Source organism: Homo sapiens, chromosome 2, assembly GCF_000001405.40.
Source record: "Homo sapiens chromosome 2, GRCh38.p14 Primary Assembly".
NCBI classification, from domain to species: domain Eukaryota; kingdom Metazoa; phylum Chordata; class Mammalia; order Primates; family Hominidae; genus Homo; species Homo sapiens.
In genome coordinates, this window is record NC_000002.12 from 135,740,516 (window position 1) to 135,760,830 (window position 20,315).

At 40.3% G+C, this 20,315-nt stretch overlaps 1 protein-coding gene and 1 long non-coding RNA gene across 2 annotated transcripts in view, besides 4 other annotated features; one reads left to right on the forward strand and one right to left on the reverse strand.

Moving 5' to 3' along the window:
- Positions 1 to 313: 313 nt before the first annotated feature.
- Positions 314 to 2,129, reverse strand: LOC107985946 (uncharacterized). The gene has a single exon (NR_163478.1). It is a non-coding gene; the product is annotated as an uncharacterized LOC107985946 (long non-coding RNA).
- Positions 958 to 1,087: an enhancer, noted in NCBI's record as "active region_16576". NCBI's record gives its function as "activates an Ori minimal core promoter by ATAC-STARR-seq in GM12878 lymphoblastoid cells {active_cell/tissue: GM12878}" and the evidence as "EXISTENCE:reporter gene assay evidence [ECO:0000049][PMID:35858748]".
- UBXN4 (UBX domain protein 4) overlaps positions 1,340 to 20,315 on the forward strand; it is a 43,202-nt gene continuing 24,226 nt past the window's right edge. Inside the window, exons 1-5 of the mRNA NM_014607.4 lie at positions 1,340 to 1,496; positions 7,752 to 7,854; positions 13,024 to 13,052; positions 13,644 to 13,762; positions 15,002 to 15,176. Of these exons, the coding sequence (NP_055422.1) occupies positions 1,415 to 1,496; positions 7,752 to 7,854; positions 13,024 to 13,052; positions 13,644 to 13,762; positions 15,002 to 15,176 (508 nt within the window). The 5' untranslated portion in view covers positions 1,340 to 1,414. The remainder of the gene's footprint in view (positions 1,497 to 7,751; positions 7,855 to 13,023; positions 13,053 to 13,643; positions 13,763 to 15,001; positions 15,177 to 20,315) is intronic.
- Positions 1,418 to 1,477: an enhancer, noted in NCBI's record as "active region_16577". NCBI's record gives its function as "activates an Ori minimal core promoter by ATAC-STARR-seq in GM12878 lymphoblastoid cells {active_cell/tissue: GM12878}" and the evidence as "EXISTENCE:reporter gene assay evidence [ECO:0000049][PMID:35858748]".
- Positions 1,806 to 2,581: an enhancer, noted in NCBI's record as "NANOG-H3K27ac-H3K4me1 hESC enhancer chr2:136499891-136500666 (GRCh37/hg19 assembly coordinates)". NCBI's record gives its function as "activates a minimal SCP1, AML or CMV promoter by ChIP-STARR-seq in naive H9 embryonic stem cells {active_cell/tissue: H9 hESC(naive)}" and the evidence as "EXISTENCE:reporter gene assay evidence [ECO:0000049][PMID:30033119]".
- Positions 1,878 to 1,927: a silencer, noted in NCBI's record as "silent region_11982". NCBI's record gives its function as "represses an Ori minimal core promoter by ATAC-STARR-seq in GM12878 lymphoblastoid cells {active_cell/tissue: GM12878}" and the evidence as "EXISTENCE:reporter gene assay evidence [ECO:0000049][PMID:35858748]".

Sequence of the window (20,315 nt, forward strand, 5' to 3'; positions counted from 1 at the left end):
ATTAGAGATAATTAAAGACATAGCTCTATTGGAATAATTTCTAGATTGATCAAATTTCCAGAAGTCCATTAAAGTTGATGTTAAAGGTCAATTCTAATTTTTCTGTAGGATTGTTGTCCTATAGAAGCAACTGTCCCTAATCAGCATTATGTCTCAGTTTATAATAACACTATATACGAGAGGCCTGATTGGGAAAAAAAGTACAAAAATCGGAGTGCAAATAATTAGCTATTTTTAGGGAAAATATCTGTAGGAAAGGTGGTATATTCAGATGTATCACTTCCTTTATCTTGCAAAGATTGTCAGATAGATGTACTGCTGGAGGATAAATTTAATTGATGTAGAATTTAACATAATAGTATATGCAACTTTAAATAAACCATGCAAGCCTTTAGCTAATAGTTATTACAGACCATGTGATTTCATGAAAGTATTAAATATGGATCAGTTTTCATTTAATGGCAGCCAATCACAAAGCGCCACATCTTGATTATAGGACATTCTCCCAGAAAATTGGAAAATAAATCACTATCTAGTCTCTTTTGTATTACCATGGAAAGTAGCTGGAAAAGAAATAATCTATTCTCTGCTTTGTGTTACTTTAAAAAGTAGCTGTGGCAATAGCCTAACGCGTTTTGAAGTTTTGAAATGATCTCTATCCAGTGTCTAGGAAATTGCTGAAGGCCTGCGTTCTACCAATTCCTCCGCTTAGGCACATGGACTACAGGTTATTAAAGAAGGTGACTTGCGGTTTTTATCCCGTTTTTCTGCAAGGTTGGGCTACGTTCAGAAGAAATCAAAGCCTCGGAGTTAATCCCGACAAAGCCCATTTAGTTCCATGCGAGGACTATTTCCTCCACACTGAGAGTCTCAACGAGGCCGAGAATAGCATATGCCAGTTGGAGTGACACTTATTTCTCCCTCTCCCCTTTATAGAATGTGTAGTGGCCCTCACTACTGCCCCCTTTAGCTGTGCCTCAGAACCCACAGTTACATGCTCCACAATATGGAGGCGAATAAGCCTAAGTGGACTACAATTCCCATCATGCCTCACTGCAGGCGCCGCCGACGTGTCTTAGCGGTTAGTCATCCCTCTTACCGCTTTCCTCCACTTCCTGGACTGCGCGACCGGAGGCCTAGCGGGCGCGCGCCCGCACCATCGACTCGCCAACGAGAGAAGGTCCTGGGGCACGGACACCGACGGGTTGCGACTGTGACGTGAGGTGTTCTCGCGCGCGCTAGCGCGCGTCTCCGGGTGCCGCTGACGGGCGTGCGCGCTTGTGCGGAGCCGGAGGTGGGGGCCGAACCAGCCAAGGTTGCGGGGGCCGCAGAGCCGGACGAAGACGGAGGGCGGAGCCGGCTTCGGGACTGCGGAGACTACACACCGAGCGAGCGCCTGGGCCCGAAGGGAGCGATGCTGTGGTTCCAGGGCGCCATTCCGGCCGCCATCGCGACGGCCAAAAGGAGCGGCGCGGTCTTCGTGGTGTTCGTGGCAGGTGAAGGAGGCAGGGGTTCGAGAGGCGGCCGGGACACCCCTCCGGCCTACCTTCATCCTCTTGTATACCTCAGCCGCCGGCCCGCCCTCCCCGAGACGCGGGCTCCTGTCGGCTCGCACAATTGCCACTACTACCCCGCGCCCCAGGGACGGCTGCGACTCCGCCGCCAGATCCCCCAGAGGGGCCATGCAGACCCTCAGCGCCCTGCTCCTTCAGGCCCCGGGCGCCCCCAGCCTTTCCTCAGTGTCTGCGAGGCCCGGGCTGCCGGCCCGTGGCTGTTCAGCGCCTCCCCGGTTCGTTTGAGATACAGTGGGCCTGGCCCCACCGCTGCGTCTCCCGGCAGCCGGGCCGGAGGCACCGTCTGGCCCTGGTCTCCAAAGCGCCCCGAGGCCCGCCGAAATCTCCCCGCTCGGGGCGACGGACGCGGCCAGCAGGCCCCAGCCGCCCAGCCCCGCTCGTCGCCCCGAGCCTCTCCCCTGCGCAGCCAGACCCCCGCGACCCTCTCCCTGACGTCCCTCTCTGTCACCAAGGACCCTCTTTGTGCTGCTTGAACGCCCGTTTCGTTACTGCTGTTTAGATGGAGGTAGGAACGGGCCATTAGGCAAGCAGTTGGGTTGTAATTAGTTGTGGACTGTCGGGAAGAAAGCTGTGTCATCGATAAGCAACAAAGAGAAACCACCTGATGTTCACGGTTACTGGTGTTAGTACGTTCCTGAAACGTAAACTTTTGAGCTGAATAGAGGTTTAATTTTTCTTTATGGCAGTCTTGGTAGGGGATCTAGTGTGAAATAATGTAAGTTTAAAAAAAATCCATTAGTTTCAAAGAAAATAGACGTTCAGTCCTTGGTTTCTTCCCTTTGTTGTCTTCTTAGGCTAAAATCTACACGACTTTGAGAACGTTTATTAACTCATATATTCTCTGTTGCTCTAGGCTATTTTGCTCCATATTCTCCTGTTTTATTACTGAAATCTTGTAGATTTACAGTGAACTCCCTGCCTCTACGGTTCTGCTCATACTCATTACATGGACCAAATCAATGTTTGTGGCTGTTGTTAATTTGAGGTGTATTTCTTCAACTATTTGTGTTTAATAACGGTTTATTCATAATTAACTCGTCTTTTAATAGCTCTATAACTTTATGCACTGCAGTGAAGAACGAATTACTGAAATGTGAATGTCATTTAGCATTAAATTTGGAATTTATAATTGTTTTGTTACGCCAAGTTTTTAGCTCAATGCTGTTTATTAGAAGAGCTTGAATAGTTTAGATTCTGTGATGCTGTCTGGGGGTTATATTATACTTTACATAAATTAATTCTGTAATCCCGTAAGGAAAAAAATGGATTGAAAATGAAAGGAAAAGTAAATGACACTATGCTTATTGTGTACATTAGTAGGTTTTTGACATTTTAAATTGTTTTTCTCCTAATATCTCAGTTGATCCTTGCAGTAAATAGAACAGGTTTAATTATCCCCATTTTATAGATGAGGCACTTAGGTCAGCAGTCATAAAGTGACTTGCACTAGGGCCACAAAAAGGATTTACATGTCTTAACAGTCAAATTTTTTAGTAGCTTCAAAAAAACTGGCTTTTTTGTTTCTTAAGGAAAAAACTGAACAATTTGTAAATTGGTGATTTAAATTGGTATAGAAATCAGAAATTTGGATTATGGTAGTCATGTTTTTGAACAAATGTCCAAACATTCCTAGAAGGCACTCTTGAGGTAAATCAGTTAATTTAAAAAAAGAAACGAGAGATTTTTATTAACAAATATTAATATTTGGAAACTCTAGTACAAATTATTGGAATAGTTAAATAAAGTTATAGGTCTTGCCTTTCGGGGTTTTGTGTATATATATATACTTTCTTCAATTAAGTTTTTACTGATGAGCATGTATTACATGTATTTAGAATATAATGACTCTTGAATGTTTGCAGGAAGACTGTTAGCAATCTCACAAAGGAGTCTCTGTCTGTCCCTTGACCTGTTCCAAAATCCAGCTAGCTTTTTTAGAGCTTTAGCCAGTTAATCCCCAAGACTAAGTAGGATTAGTGTCACTCTAGGAGTATGTAGATACTGGACTCATGAAACCAAAACACTTACAGATTGCTTAGAGCTTTCTTCATAACTCTGAAGTCAGAACTTGTGATTTTCTTAGGTCTAAGATCTCAGTAATAATATACCAACTTAATGGAAAATTTGAAAGATGTCTTTATAGTTGGAAGACGTGATCTCAAGAGTACACTTTGGTTCATAGAACTGTTCAAGTGGGAAACGTTTTAGGCAAGTGGTCTTTAGTTAGTGACATTTTCATGGATGAATTAAAGAATATTGTAGAGTTGATGTTAGGAGACGAGAGATTACTACTACTTCAGCTAACAAATTAATATGATTTTCAAAGTATTGTGGCTGTGTAAAGTAAGTGAAACAAAACGATATTCATTTAATACTTGGGAAGGTAGAATAATCTGACGAGACTGAAGTAAAGGTATCTGTTCACTGGCTAATGTTGCTAGGTAGGTAGGCCAAACTTTGTTAATGATAGACGCCATTTTCTGCCTTTTTTGGTGAATGTAGACCACAGAAGCCTTTAGGTTTTGAGCAGTTGAGATTTATTTTACATCGGAAAGACTGGCTGTATGAGGGTCTGCAACTCTTTGCTTCTGAGTTCGTGTTGCTCTCTTTAAGTGCCTTCGCTTAGGATACTGCCGATACAAAGGATATGCTGTTTTCTCCTAAAATCTTAGGCCCACCTAACTTTATAGTTGATAATTTGATTAAAAATAAGAAATGAAAGATACCAGAGTTAGCAATCAGTCATCCCACTCAGTAGTATTAGGAAAGTTGTCATTAAGCATTGAGTAATTCCATTCAGCTTTCCACCACTGCTGTTCAAGCAGCTGCTGCCACCACTAGGCTGAGTCTAGGACAGACACTGCCAGTAGGGTTGAGACATCTGGGACCCTAATCACATGGTACAGTATAGGTGAGGGAGTGATGCACCAGCCTCACAAGAAGCAAGATTTATACTTTCAGCTACTTACGTGATATCACTGTTTAGATCCTCCCAGGATTCTCAAGCCTAAACGTGTAAGTGCTGCCTAAACCTGTGTTTCTCCCAGTGTTCTGCATCTGATTGGCACTACCATACATCTGGTTGGATAAACCATAAATATGAGAGTCATCTTTGACTCTTAACTCTTCAGTCTCTTCTTGAGCTCCGGATTGTTCACAACATTCCAAATCACATAGGCCTTTCCCTACACACGTATTCCTTCTGCGTGGTGAACTCTTCTGGCTGTTGGCATGGCTGAGCTCTCTTATCCTTTAGATTTTAGCTTAACTGTCACCTCAGAGAGGGCTTCTCTGACCATTATAAAGAGTTCTCTTGTTATTTTCTCTCATAGATTTCTTTTTAGTAGCATTTATTACTGTAATTACGTATAGTGTCTATTTGTTTAAAAATTTTGTATACCATTAGATTTTAAGCTCTGTTGAAGGCAGACAATGTCTCATTTGGTTTATATTTAGTATACAGTTCAATGCCTAGAACAAAATAAATGCAATAAAATAGTGAACATATAAAAGAATGAATGGAAAGGATTTCTCATTCTTCACAGCCTTCTCTGAGAAGGGTTCGTAGTAAGAATATTCTCATATACTTATTTTTCTTTGGTAGGTGAGTCATTTATTTGGAATCTTAATCTCTCCTCATCAGATGGTTTCTGAAGATGCATTTAGAGTGATCTCACTTGCAAATAGTAACTTCTCGTTATTTTGCATCTTCAACATCTAGGAGTCTGCTAATGGAGCATTCTTAATGGAGCATTTGGTCTGTGGATGCATTCTAGTCCCGTTTACTTTTTTTTTTTTTTTTTTTTTGAGATGGAGTCTCACTCTGCCGCCAGGCTGGAGTACAGTGGTGCAATCTCGGCTCACTACAACCTCCACTTCCCTGGTTCAAGCGATTCTCCTGCCTCAGCCTCCTGAGTAGCTGGGACTACAGGTGTGTGTCACCACGCACAGCTAATTTTTGTATTTTTAGTAGAGACGGGGTTTCACCGTGTTGGCCGGGATGATCTAGATCTCTTGACCTCGTGATCCGTCCGCCTAAGCCTCACAAAGTGAGCCACCGTGCCCGACCCCGTTTACTTTTCCATGGTCAAATTTCTCAAACTCCTATTTCTGGTATTCCTGAATCTCATCTCACAAAATATATGCAAATAAACAGCATTAGAGTCAATTATTATAGGCATGCCATCATACTTACTATATTAGGCATTTAGCTATTCCACAGAGTACTTATTGGGTGCCTACTATGTTTTGTAGAGATTTTAGTCTTGTCAGTAAATAAAATGGAACCAATCCTTGCCTTCATGGAACCTTCATTCTAGTTAGGGGAGACAGATACTAGTAAACATAATTAAAAATGCATAGTATATTGGAAGGTGAAAGTAATACAGAAAAACAACAGGAGATAAGGGAGCTTTGGGAATGTCTCAAGAGTGTAATTTTAAAGTAAGTGAGTAGGAGAGTTGTAATATTAAAGTGGGTGATTAAGTATCAGCTTTATTGAGCTGATATTTGAGCAAAGTTTTAAGGGAGTTGGAAGTTAACCATGTAGTTATCTGGGGGAAGAACATTCCAGGCAGAGGAAACAACTAGTACAAAGACCTTATGGCTGAAGTGTCTTTCATATTTGAGGAATAGAAGGAAAAAGAATAGCAAGAAAGGAAAAAGGAATGAGGTCACAGAGGTAGTTGGAGTCCTGATGTATGGGGCCTTCAAGCGCCCTGTAAGGACTTTGGCTTTTACTTTGAGGAAAATGGGGAGCCATTGTGTGATCTAAGCAGAGGGTTGATGTGATCTTTTTTTTTTTAGAGAAAGTTGCTGTGTTAAGAATAGACTTAGCAGGAAGACCAATTTGGAGGCTTTTACTAGGCTTCCAGGTGAGATGTGATAGCTTGGATCAGGGTAGTTAGTAGTGGAAGTGGTAAGAAAGTTACATTCTTGATTTATTTTGGAGCTGGAGTCAGTTACAATCAAGGAAAACTAGTTTTTTGGCCTGAGAACTGGAAGGATGGAGTTACCATAAACGAATAACTGCAATGAGGAAGGCCAAAGTGGATTAAATTGTCCTGGCCAACATAGTGAAACCCCATCTCTACTAAAAATACAAAAAAATTAGCTGGGCGTGGTGGCGGGCACCTGTAATTCCAGCTGCTCAGGAGGCTGAGGCAGGAGAATCGCTTGAACCCGGGAGGCAGAGATTGCAATGAGCCAAGATTGCACCATTGCACTACAACCTGAGCGACAAGAGTGAAACTCCATCTCAAAAAAAAAAAAAAAAAAAAAAAAGATACAGAACGTTTTCAGCATTCCAGAAGGCTCCTTCATGCTCTATCAAGGTAGCCACTATACTGAATTCTATCACCATAGATTAGTTATAGGTTAGCATACCTTTTATAATTAGCATACCTACAATAAAAGGCAAGTCTAAAATTGCAAACAGAATTGTACCTGCCTCTGTCTACCTTGGATTAATTTTGGAGTATAAATGCTGTGGAGTGGAGATGTTGAACTCAACAGAAAGGTGCCACATAAAGGACAGATATCAAACTTTTTATTTTTCTCTCTCTCTAGACGGTCTCACTGTGTCACCCAGGCTGGAGTGCAGTGGTGCAATCTCCGCTCACTGCAACTTCCACCTTCCGAGTGCAAGCAATTCTCCTGCCTCAGCCTCCTATGTAGGTGGGATTACAGGCATGCGCCACCACACCTGGCTAAGTAGAGATGGGGTTTTACCGTGTTGGCCAGTCTGGTCTCGAATTCCTGGCCTCAGGTGATCTACCCGCCTCAGCCTCCCAAAGTGCTGAGATTATAGGCGTGAGCCACCGAGCCCAGCCCACAACTTTTATTTTAATAAAATCTTATGTACAAAAGCCCAAATAGGCACTGCACCGATGACTGCTTATTATTGTGGTACTTTGCGCATCATAATTTAGATGGCTTCTTTTATGAAATATTTTGTATCATTTAAATAGTCCAGTGTAGTTTGTTTTCATTGCTCTTCATGATGTGAACTGTGTATGCAGTCACACTTTTCATTTAGTGGAAAATTCAGTTTTCAAATTTGGCAGAAAGTGGTATAGGTGGGATTATATTTTATTTGAGGTTTCCGTTTTCCAGGGGAAAAGAGTTTGCAATCAGCAGATCCCAGCCTGGTATAAGAATTTTTGAAATGTTTTACAGGTGATGATGAACAGTCTACACAGATGGCTGCAAGTTGGGAAGATGATAAAGTTACAGAAGCATCTTCAAACAGTTTTGTTGCTATTAAAATCGATACCAAAAGGTTTGTTTATGTTTTAATATTTTATTAATTTTAAAATTTATAAGTATTGTCTTTGATTTATAGTGATACTCTTGGACTAGAAGAATGTTGATGTTGGGCTGGGCACTCCCAGCACTTTGGGAGACTGAGGTGGGAGGATCGCTTGAGCCCAGGAGTTAGAGGCTAGCCTGGGCAACATAGTGAGACCCTGTCTCTATAAAAAATAATAATAAAATTAGGAGTGTGGTGTGTGCCTTTGGTCCTGCTACTTGGGAGGCTGAGGGGAGGATCACTTGATCCCTGAAGACTGGGGCTACAGTGAGCTGTGATCATGCCACTGCACTCCAGCCTGGGTGACAGAGTCAAACTCTGTCTCAAAAAAAAAAAAAAAAGAATATAGGCCAGGCACAGTGGCTCATGCCTGTAATCCCAGAACTTTGGGAGGCCAAGACAGGCGGATCACTTGAGGTCAGGAGTTTGAGACCAGTCTGGGCAACACAGTGAGACCTTGTCTCTACTAAAAAAAAAAATACAAAAATTAGCCGGGTGTGGTGGCACACGCCTGTAATCCCAGCTACTCGGGGGGCTGAGGTAAGAGGATCACTTGAGCCCAGGAGGTTGAAGTTGAGGCTGCAGTTAGCAGTGACTGCACCACTGCACTATAGCCTGGGCGAGAGAGCAAGACTATCTCAAAAAAAAAAAAAGAATGTTTATGCTATGTTTTTGGGTATCTAAGGCATATTAGGAACTTAAATTCTGACTGCCGTTTGCTAAATTCATCATGAATCCTGCTGAAAAAACTTTAAGCTTTCCTACTCTACCAAGCAGCCATCTAACATGTACCAGGAATGCAAAAAGAACAGTCATCTCCAGCTTCTAAAAACTTGGAAGTAATGGTAAATCATACATTGAATATCTCTGAGAGGTTGATCACTTACTGTCTTGAATCCTATTTTTGGGAATGGAGTCATTTAATCAGTGGAAATAAGGACATTTATAGGTTCCTCAAAGTACCTGATGTCCACAAGTCTATTTTGTTTCTCCGTTCCTCCTCCCCATCTTTTAAAAAAATTTTTGTTATAGGAAGTTTCAAACATATATGAAAGTAATGTAACAGTGTAATGTACCCCATGTACTTGTCTACTAGCTTTGGTAATTAACTCATGGTCAGTCTTGTTTCATCTATACCTCCACCCATTTCCACTCAATCCAAATAATTTTGAAACAAATCACAGTCACTGTATCACTTCATCTATAAATATTTTAGTATGTCTCTGAAGTATAAGTATTGTTAATTTTTTAAGCATAACTATAATATTAATACTTCACAAACTAATAATAATTCTTTAATATCAAATAACCAGCCAGTGTTCGACTTTTCAGTTGTCTCATCAAAGTCATAGTTTTATTACTTTATTGCAGTTTTTTAGTTCAAAATTATTCAAGGGCCACACATTAGGAAGCATTGATTTCTCTCAGTATGTAGGCTTCTCCTCCAACTCCCCTGCTCCTTGGAATTTATATTTTAAAGACACCAGGTCATTTGTTCTATACATTTGTTCTGTGGTTTCCTACAGTATGGATTTTGTTGACTGCAATGTGTTAGTGTCAAGTTGGTTCTTTCCTGTTTTCTGTATTGATAGGTAGATTCAGGTTTGTTTCCCCTCCCCTCATCCTGTCCTAAGACTACTTCATAGGTAGTGATGTGTCTTCCATCAGAAGACAGATAATACCCTGTTTTCTCTCTTTATGATGTTAGCAGCTATCAGTGATCATTACCTAAAAACATTATTATTTATTTTTTTCTTTGAAGCAGGATTTCACTATGTTGCCCAGGCTGGTCTTAAAATATTGGACTGAAGAGATCCTCCCATGTCAGCCTCCCAAATAGCTGTAGTTACAGGCATGCTTCACTGTGCCTGGTGCTGAAAACATTAATTCATTAGCACTTACAAAGTGGTATTCCTGTCTTTTTGATATTGATACTATCAGAATGAATAATGTGTTTGAAAATCACTGTCAAGATTAAAGCATTCAGAAATTTCTACTCGGGAGGCTGAGGCAGGAGAATGCTGTGAACCCGGGAGGCAGAGCTTGCAGTGAGCCGAGATTGCACCACTGCACTCCAGCCTGGGCAACAGAGCAAGACTCCGTCTCAAAAAAAATAAAAATAAAAATAAAAAAATAAATTCAGAAATTTGCCTATAAGTTTGTAAACTTTATGTAAAAATTTTCTGTGTTTACAAAAACATCAAGTCGTAGTATAGCCTGTCTCACAACAGTTACTGAACTATGTATTTACTGAGTAGTTTTTAAAAAACAGAATCTGTCAATTTAAGTATATCTTTTTTTTTTTATTGTTCATCACCTTCCTGAAGCACCTTTGAGAGTTGGCAGTGGCAAGAAGAATATAGGGATTTATAGGGAATGTGCAATACATGAGAATTCCAGAATTCTTGAGATTGTATACAGACTGATGTGTCTGGCTTTTTTTTTTTTTTTTTTTTTTTTTTTTTTTTTTTTTTGAGACGGAGTCTTGCTCTGTCGCCCAGGCTGGAGTGCAGTGGCGTGATCTCGGCTCACTGCAAGCTCCGCCTCCCGGGTTCACGCCATTCTCCTGCCTCAGCCTCCCGAGTAGCTGGGACTGCAGGTGCCCGCCACCATGCCCGGCTAATTTTTTTTTTTTTTTTGTATTTTTAGTAGAGACGGGGTTTCACCATGGTCTCGATCTCCTGACCTCGTGATCCGCCCGCCTCAGCCTCCCAAAGTGCTGGGATTACAGGTATGAGCCACTGTGCCCGGCCGTGTCTGGCATTTTTAAAAATAAATTACTTTTTTTTATTTTTTATTTTTTTTGAGACGGAGTCTCGCTCTGTAGCCCAGGCTGGAGTGCAGTAACGTGATCTTGGCTCACTGCAAGCTCCGCCTCCCGGGCTCACGGCATTCTCCTGCCTCAGCCTCCCAAGTAGCTGGGACTATAGGCGCCCACCACCATGCCTGGCTAATTTTTAAAATAGTTTTAGTAGAGATGGGGTTTCACAGTGTTAGCCAGGATGGTCTCGATCTCCTGACCTCGTGATCCACCTGCCCCGGCCTCCCAAAGTGCTGGGATTACAGGTGTGAGCCATCGTGCCTGGCCTTAAAAACAAATTTCTATTAGCAGATGCAGGGATACCTGCATATAGTGATGGTTCATGTTTGTTTCACTGTAGACTGCATGCTGATAGAATCTAGTGTGCCTTTAAATTATGGAAAATAAATTTTCTTCATTTCATAATAACTAAGTCACCCAATGTTTTGGGATCATTTTAGTGTGTATGTATTTTTGGAGATAGCGTGCATTGAAAATAGATTAGTAGGAAATGCGTAAAAAGTTTACAATTATTTCTGAAATGGTAGGATTTTGGGTAATTTTTTTTCTTGATTTTTTACTATGTTTTTAAATGTTTTTATGATAATAATGCTTTATATTTGAGGGAAAAAAGCAAATTCTAGTTCTTAGAAGCATTTGTTTGATTATTGGAAGCATCTACATTGATGAGTATCTCTTACTAATCTTATAAATTCTCTCTCCCATCCCTGACCACTCAGCTCCCTTCTCTGGAGGGAACCAAATCAAGAAAATATATTTATGTTTGTTTTCCTTCCATGTTTTACAAAAATAGTATTAATAGCATTTTGACATACTTTTCTATACCTTTTTCTTTTCTTTTTTTTGAGACAGAGTCTCACATTGTACCCTGAGCTGGAGTGCAATGGCATGATCTCGGCTCACTGCAACCTCCGCCTCCTGGGTTCATGCAGTTCTCCTGTGTCAGCCTCCCGAGTAGCTGGGATTACAGGTGCACACCACCACACCCAGCTAATTTTTTGTATTTTCAGTAGAGAGGGAGTTTCACTATGTTGGCCAGACTGGACTCGAACTCCTGACCTCATAATCCACTTGCCTCGGCCTCCCAAAGTGCTGGGATTACAGGCGTGAGCCACCACGCCAGGCCAATTTTTGTATTTTTAGTAGAGACAGGGTTTCGCCATGTTGGCCAGGCTGGTCACGAACTCCTGACCTCGTGTCCACCTGCCTTGACCTCCCAAATTGCTGGGATTACAGATGTGATCCACAGTGCTGGCCTGCCTTTTTTTGTGATTGCATAATTATTCAGTTTTTATTGGTATATAGATTGCTTTTAATCCTTTGTTATTATAGAGTATTACATTATCACATGCCTAAGTAAGTCGTAGGCCTTATGTCTTCGTGTTCCAGGTTAAGATATTGTATTCAGGTATACTTGTCTGCTGAGGAAGCAGCATGGCAGATACCAAATTAATTTTTTAGCTACCAGATGCAGCCACTAGCTTGTGGGTTGTAAGAGCAAATAGTTCTTTCTCTTTTGAGATGAAGTCTCACTCTGTTGCCCAGGCTGGAGTGCAGTGGCGCGATCTTGGCTCACTGCAACCTCTGCCTACCAGGTTCAAGCGATTCTCTTGCCTCAGCCTCCTGAGTAGCCGGGATTACAGGTGTGTGCCACCACGCCGAGCTAATTTTTGCATTTTTAGTAGAGACCAGATTTCACCATGTTGGCCAGGCTGGTCTCAACTACTGACTTTGTGATTCACCCGCCTTGGCCTCCCAAAGTGCTTGGATTATACCTGTGAGCTACCACGCCCGGCCTTTTTTTTTTTTTTTTTTTTTTTGAGACAGAGTTTTGCTCTTGTTGCCCAGGCTGGAGTGCAATGGTGCAATCTTGGCTCACTGAAACTTCCACCTCCTGGGTTCAAGCGATTCTCCTGCCTCAGCCTCCCAAGTAGCTGGGATTACAGGCACTTGCCACAATGCCCAGCTAATTTTTGTATTTTTAGTAGAGACGGGGTTTCGCCATGTTGGCCAGGCTGGTCTCGAACTCTTGATCTCAAGTGATCTGCCTGCCTCGGCCTCCCAAAATGCTGGGATTACAGGCATGAGCCACCATGCCAAGCCACAAATAATTCTTTCATTTGAAAATTATAAAACAAACCAGAAAAAGTCTTAATGAAATAAGAATTATATTTTTCTCCTTCAACCTGATTGCTGTGAAAGAAACTGGTAGTTGCAGGAAAATACTTGTGATTGGTACAGTAAATTTTATTAAAACAACTCAGTATTTAGAAAATACTTGCATTCATCTAGTGATTTTGTTTGATTTTGTTTTACAGTGAAGCCTGCCTACAGTTTTCACAAATCTGTATCCTTTCAGTAAAGAATGGCTTATATATATACATTTATTTACCTTCCTTTTGGTTAATTTATGAAATTTAGAAATTATTCATTTTTATTTAGGAAATCATACATTCTTTTTTATGGAAACTTTATTACTAAGTGTCCTCATTTAAAAAAAATGTTATTATAGGAAATTTCAAACATATATAAAAGTAACTCAATGGTGTAGTGCACCCCATACATTGAGATAATATATTGCAGCTAAAGATAGGATAGGGAGTTTTTAAAATGTGAATATCTGAAAAACAATATAGATCAGTTGGGTTGGAATGTTACAAGTAGCTTGCAAGAGGCAGCTGGCAGCAAGATGGATAGAAAAGGAAGTTATGATAGAGGAGAATGTAGTAGATTCTTCACTAGAATATACCTCATAAATTAACATGTCACATGTATTAATACTACAGGTATAATGATGCAGTACTTGAAATTATTTAATAAATGTTAGATTATATTGTGAAAATCACAAAGATCATTTGTTTTCCTTTGTTACCAATAGTGTTTCGTAAAACTATCCTTTCGTTTCACATGAATTGTTAGACTTCATTAAACTGTACAGATCCTGTAGTGTGTGTTCCATCCAGTTTCTTTATTGGAGACAGTGGAATTCCCTTGGAAGTAATAGCAGGAAGTGTTTCTGCAGATGAACTTGTTACAAGAATTCACAAGGTCCGACAGGTAAGAAGGAACAGAACTGTTGTTTCCGTAAATGGTACGTCAGGAATTGGATTTTTTTTTTTGAGATGGAGTCTCGTTCTGTCGCCCAGGCTGGAGTGCAGTGGTGTGATCTCAGCTCAAGTGCAGCCTCCGCCTCCCAGGTTCAAGTGATTCTCCTGCCCCAGCCTCCCAAGTAGCTGGGATTACAGGCACCTGCCACCACACTGAGCTGATTTTTGTATTTTTAGTAGAGACAGGGTTTCACCATGTTGGCCAGGCTGGTCTCAAACTCCTGACCTCAGGTGATCTGCCCGCCTCGGCCTCCCAAAGTGCTGAGATTACAGGTGTGAGCCACCGCACCCTTCCTAACATTGGAATATTTTTGGAGCCCCTCTGTATATTCAGGAAACTGCCATGCCAAAAATCTTAAAAGGTAGTAAGTACTGTCTTTGTCACCTGTTTTTGTAAATAGCATGAAGTTACAGGTGCCAGTAGCCAGTACCTAATACTTGACTGACTTCTTTACCTTTCTTTATTTTTTTATTTTTTTGAGATGGAGTCTCTGTTGCCCAGGCTGGAGTGCAGTGGACTGATCTCAGCTCACTGCAATCTCTACCTCCCGGGTTCGAGCGATTTTTCTGCCTCAGCCTCCCCAGTGGTGGGATTACAGGCGCATGCCACCATGCCCAGCTAATTTTTGCATTTTTAGTAGAGACGGAATTTTGCCATGTTGGCCAGGCTGGTCTTGAACTCCTGACCTCAAGTGATCTGCCCGCCTTGACCTCCCAAAGTGCTGGGATTACAGGCATGAGCCACCACACCTAGCCATCTTTTACCCCAGTCTCAACACATAATGAATATCACCATAACTTTGTTGAAAGAGAAAGTTGCTGTCATATTAAGGCTCTAACTATATATTGCTTAATATATTTTAAGGACGTTATACTCAATAATTAATCATTTCTGTCTACTTTGGACAAATGGCTGGTAGAAGTTTGTAACTTTTTTCTTTGAATTCTAATTTGAGGGAAAATCAATAGTGTGCTTTAACAAATGTTTTTATGGTCTTGCCAGCTTGCAGGTAAATTCCATAATGTGATTATATCATACTTAGGATTATACATTTTGGATTCATCTATTTATGAGCATTTCGTATTTCTCTTTTTATAGAGTATAAATCAACCTGTATTTTGGTCTCTACTGCCATGGTAAGTTTAGATTCTTATCTATTAATTAAAATCCAATTTATTTTCTGCCTAGATGCATTTGCTAAAAAGTGAAACATCAGTAGCAAATGGCAGTCAGTCAGAAAGTTCAGTGTCTACTCCATCTGCGTCATTTGAACCTAACAACACTTGTGAAAACTCTCAGTCCAGAAATGCAGAGCTTTGTGAGATACCACCCACTTCTGATACAAAGTCAGATACTGCAACAGGTAACTTTTAATGTACCTTTTTGAGTGCAATAGAAGCTCCTTCACTACATTTTAATATTTAAATATTAATATTTTAAAAATATATTGTATGTATTTTTCTTCACATTTATTTAACTTAAAATTTAAGAGTCATATTAAATACACATGTGTCATTTAGTGGCAGAAGACAATAAAGTCAGTGAATGTCAGCTCAACTCCCAAATAGTCAACAATCCAGAGCAATTGATTTATAATTTCTGCTATTGCGCTGCATGCTTCAAGGAATGTCATGACACTGAGCAGTTTTATAAATCTCTTACTAGCCTAGAGAATTTGGAAAGTTTCAAATGAACTAAAGTATTATATTTGGAATTGTTTCTATAACATGTAAAAAGCTATATAAATTTAAGAGAATAGTGTTATATATATTTTTTTTGATTAGAGGTAAAAGATAATTATGAAATAGAGCTTGTAGAAGTAAGAGGTGTGACTGTAAACTCATTGATAGAAAAGGCAAAAGAGAAATTTTTGGGATTGTGGTTGGAGTTGTTTGGTGTAATATAGCTTTGTATTAGGCAACCGAGGGGTAAATAAATCAAGATGTTAGGATATTAGTGTCCTAAAAGATGAATCTACTCCAGCATCCCACACAAATAATCATCAAGCTTCTATTTGAATGCATTCAATGATGGGAAGCTCATTACCTTGCTAGGAAGCCTGTTCTGTTGTTGAACAGCTCTAGTTTTTAGAAAGAGTCTTCCTTATATTGAGCTGAAATTTGATGCCCCATAACTTCCTGTTAACATTAATGCTGCCTTGTGGAGTTACACATGACAGGTTTTGAATATTTGAAATACAGCTATTTGTCTCATTTTGAGGTTTTACATCGGATGGATCATTCAACTTCTGGATGTGTACGGAACGGGGGGACTCTATTATGGATGTTCATTTAGGTCTACGACAGAATAATTACTTTAATTGTATTTACCTGGATATATATCATTTCCAAAATTCTTCATTCCATTTTGAAGATAGACACATGTTTCCCTCTGGTATAATATTCTTTCAGCCTGAAAATTTTCCTTTAGCATTACTTATTGTACAGGTCTGGAGTTTTCTTTATGTGAAATGACTTTGTTTTATCTTCATTCTGGAAGGATATTTTTGCTGGATATAAAAATTTTTGTTTACAGTTACAGGTATTGTCCACCGTCTTCTGGTCTTCATAGTGTTCTAATGAGAAGTCTCCACAAATTCTGATTGTTCCCCCCTGTAAGGAGTATGTTGCTTTTCTCTGGCTGCTTTCAGGATTTCTTTCTTTCTTTGGTTTTTAGCAATTTGACTGTGATATGCCTAAGTGTATTTTTCTTTGTATTTATCCTGTGTTTGGTTTGCCTAGTTTCTTACATCTGTAAATGTGTGACTTTCACCAAGTTTGGGAATTTTGGTCCATATATCTTGCTGGAATGAATTACATGTATATTAGGCTTCATGGTATTGTCCCACAGGTTTATTTTTTCACACTTATTTTTTCTTCTTTGGATTGGATAATTCTGTTGATCTGCAAGTTCACTGACTCTTTATCATCTCCATTCTGATGTTAAGCCCATCCAGTGAATTTTTTATTTTAGATAAAATTATGTTATACATTTTTTAGTTGTAGGATTTCTATTTCTTTCTCTCTTATTATAACTTTTTATTTTGAAATAGTTTGACTCATAAGTTACAGAAGTTGTGCAGAATGAGTACTCTTCATCTACGTTTTATTCTTTTAATTCATTTCAAGTGTATTTCCCTTTTCCTCATTTGAGTTATAATGGCTGCTTTAAAGTCTTTGTCTGACAGTTTCAATATCTAGCTCATCTGAGGATTGGCTTGTGTTGATCACCTTTACCCTTTAGAATGGGTCACATTTTCTTGTTTGTTCATATGTCAAAAAATGCTGGATTGTATCTTGTACATTGTTGTAGACACTCTGGATTTCATTATATTCCTGCAAAGAGTGTTGTTTTTGTTTTAGTAGACAATTAACTTGGCTAGACTAAAACTGCAAGCTCTGGCTTACCTGAGGTGAGTAGCAGCTCTAATCTCAGTTTTTTTTTAGCTTAAAAAAAATTTTTTTTTTTTTTTGGTCAGGTGTGGTTGTTCACACCTATAATCCCAGCACTTTGAGAGGCCAAGGTGGGCAGATTGCTTAAGCCCAGGAGTTTGAGACCCGCCTGGACAACACGGCAAAACTCTGTCTCTACAAAAATGTGTCTGCAGGGTCTGGCTCTGTCACCCAGGCTGGAGTGCAGTGGCACAAACATAGCTCACTATAATCTCCAACTCCTGGCCCACGTGATCTCCTGCTTCAGCCACCTGAGTAGCTAGGACTACAGGTGTGCACCACCACACCTGGCTAATTTTTTTTTTTTTTTTGAGATGGAATTTTGGTCTTGTTGCCCAAGCTGGAGTGCAATGGCACAATCTTGGCTCACCACAACCTCCATCTCCTAGGTTCAAGCGATTCTCCTGCCTCAGCCTGCTGAGTAGCTGGGATTACAGGCATGCGCCACCATGCCTGGCTAATTTTGTATTTTTAGTAGGGACGGGGTTTCTCCATGTTGATCAGGCTGGTCTCAATCTCCTGACCTCAGGTGATCTGCTTGCCTTGGCCTCCCAAAGTGCTGGGATTATAGGTATGAGCCACCACGCCCAGCCTAATTTTTTAATTATATTCTTTGCAGAGATGGGGTCTCACTATGTTGCTTAGGCTGTCTCAAACTCCTGTCCTCCAGTAATCCTCCTGCCTTGCCCTCTGAAAGTGCTGGGATTACAGGCATGAGTCATTGGATCCAGGCCTGTAGCTTTTTAAAACTATTTATTATGGAAAATTTCAAACATACATAGAAGTAGAAAAAAATAGTATAAGAAAACCCCATTAATCCATTGCCTAGCTTCATGGCCAATATTCTCATCTGTGCCCTCCACTCCTCTTCTTTTTCAACTTATTTAGAACAAATCTCAGGTAAAATATTTCAATATGTATCTCTAAAATATAAGAAAGGAATATAAATCTTTTAAGATTATATATAGTTGCCTTTTAAAATAATTTTTTTTTTTTGAGACAGAGTCTCACTTTGTTGGCCAGGCTGCAGTGCAGTGGCGTGATCTCGGCTCACTGCAACCTCCACTTCCCAGGTTCAAGTGATTCTCCTGTCTCAGCCTCCCGAGTAGCTGGGACTACAGGCGTGCACCACCATGCCCGGCTAATTTTTGTATTTTTAGTAGAGACGGGGTTTCACCATGTTGGCCAGGCTGGCCTCGAACTCCTGACCTCAGGTGATACGCCTGCCTCAGCTCCCAAAGTGCTGGGATTGTAGGCGTAAGCCACTGCGCCCAGCCAAAATAAATTTTAATTATGGAAATTTGCAAGCATATTCTAAAGTAGAGAGAACAGAATAACGAACTCGAGGTACTCATCATCCTGCGTCAGTGATTCCCATTATTTGCTCGGTTTTTGTTATCTGTCTCCCTATATGACCACCCTTCCAGGTTATTTTGAAGCAAATCTCAGGCATTTGTATGATTTCATCTTTTAAAATATCAATATCTAAAAGATAAGAAATTTTTAAAAATAACAACAATACTATTATCAAAGCCAGAAAGCTTAATAGTAATCCTTTTTGTCATCAATTATCTAGGCAATATTTATATTATACTTTTTTTCAGTTTGAGTTACAGTTCGATATATTGCTATTGGTTGATGTGTTTTTAAATTTAATATATAGATTTCTGCTCTCCCTGGTAGTTTTTCCTATAGTTTTCCACAGTCTGGATTTTACTGCATCCCCATGGAATTGTGTAAGATGTTCCTCTATCCCCTTTATTCCTCTAAATTGGTAAAGCTACAGACTTGATCAAGTCAGCTTCATTATTCTTTTTGACAAGACTACTTTGTAGATGATGATGTATATTTCTCTCAGGAGATACATTATGCCTGTTATTCCAGTTGGCTTTTTAAGCCTAAAGGCGGAACTTCTCAATACATTTTTATTATATTTGGATTTTTATCAGTTGTTTTAGCTTATTGAGGTGTTTTTTCAATCCAGAATTTTTTTTTTTTTTTTTTTTTTGAGACAGTCTCGCTCTGTCTCCCAGGCTGGAGTGCAGTGGCGCTATCTTGGCTCACTGCAGCCTCCACCTCCCAAATTCAAGTGATTCTTCTACCTCAGCCTTCCAAGTAGCCGGGATTATAGGCACCCGCAACCATGCCCAGCTGATTTTGTATTTTTAGTAGTGATGAGGTTTCACCATGTTGGCCAGACTGGTCTCAAACTCCTGACCTCAAATGATCCACCTGCCTCGGCCTCCCAAAGTGCTGGGACTACAGGTGTGAGCCACCATACCCGACCTAGAATTTTTCATTTAGGAATTAGCAGTTAAATATGAGTGTTAATAAGCTATTTCACACAATTTTGGGTCACCCATAAAGTTACACATGGGCCAGGTACAATGGCTCATGCCTGTGATCCCAGTACTTTAGGAGGCCAAGATCAGTTGAGCTCAGGAGTTCGAGACCAGCCTCGGCAGTGTGACAAAACCCAGTCTCCATACAAAATACAAAAATTAGCCAGGCATGGTAGCGTGCACTGGTGGCCCCAGCTACTAGGGAGGGTGAAGTAGGAAGATGGCTTGATCCCAGGAGGCGGAGGTTGCAGTGAGCCAAGATCATGCCACTGCTCTCCAGCCTGGGCAACAAAGCTAGACCATGTCTCAAAAAAAAAAAGTTACAAATTTATATTTTACATCTTCAAGTCATTTATGAAATACCAAAGGCAGAGAACTCTGTGACATACAATTGGAAATCTTCCTCTATATGACATCTTTCCATTTCTCTTTAATTATGAGTCATAGATTCACCTAACTGTACTCTTATTCAACACTTTTCCCCCAGCTTGTCCACAGGTTATCTTCATAAGATGTTAAATTTTTGCTGATAATAAGACATGTCCTCAGCATTTATTTTATTTGCTAAAGAAAGGTGGTTAATTTCCTATTGAGCCTCTACTGGCTGCTAGTGGTTACCACTTCTTATCCAAGAGTTGCATTCAGTGATACACTGGTAAACATTTATCAGAAGGATCTGTGGAAGCAAAGGCCCATATTTGTAGTATT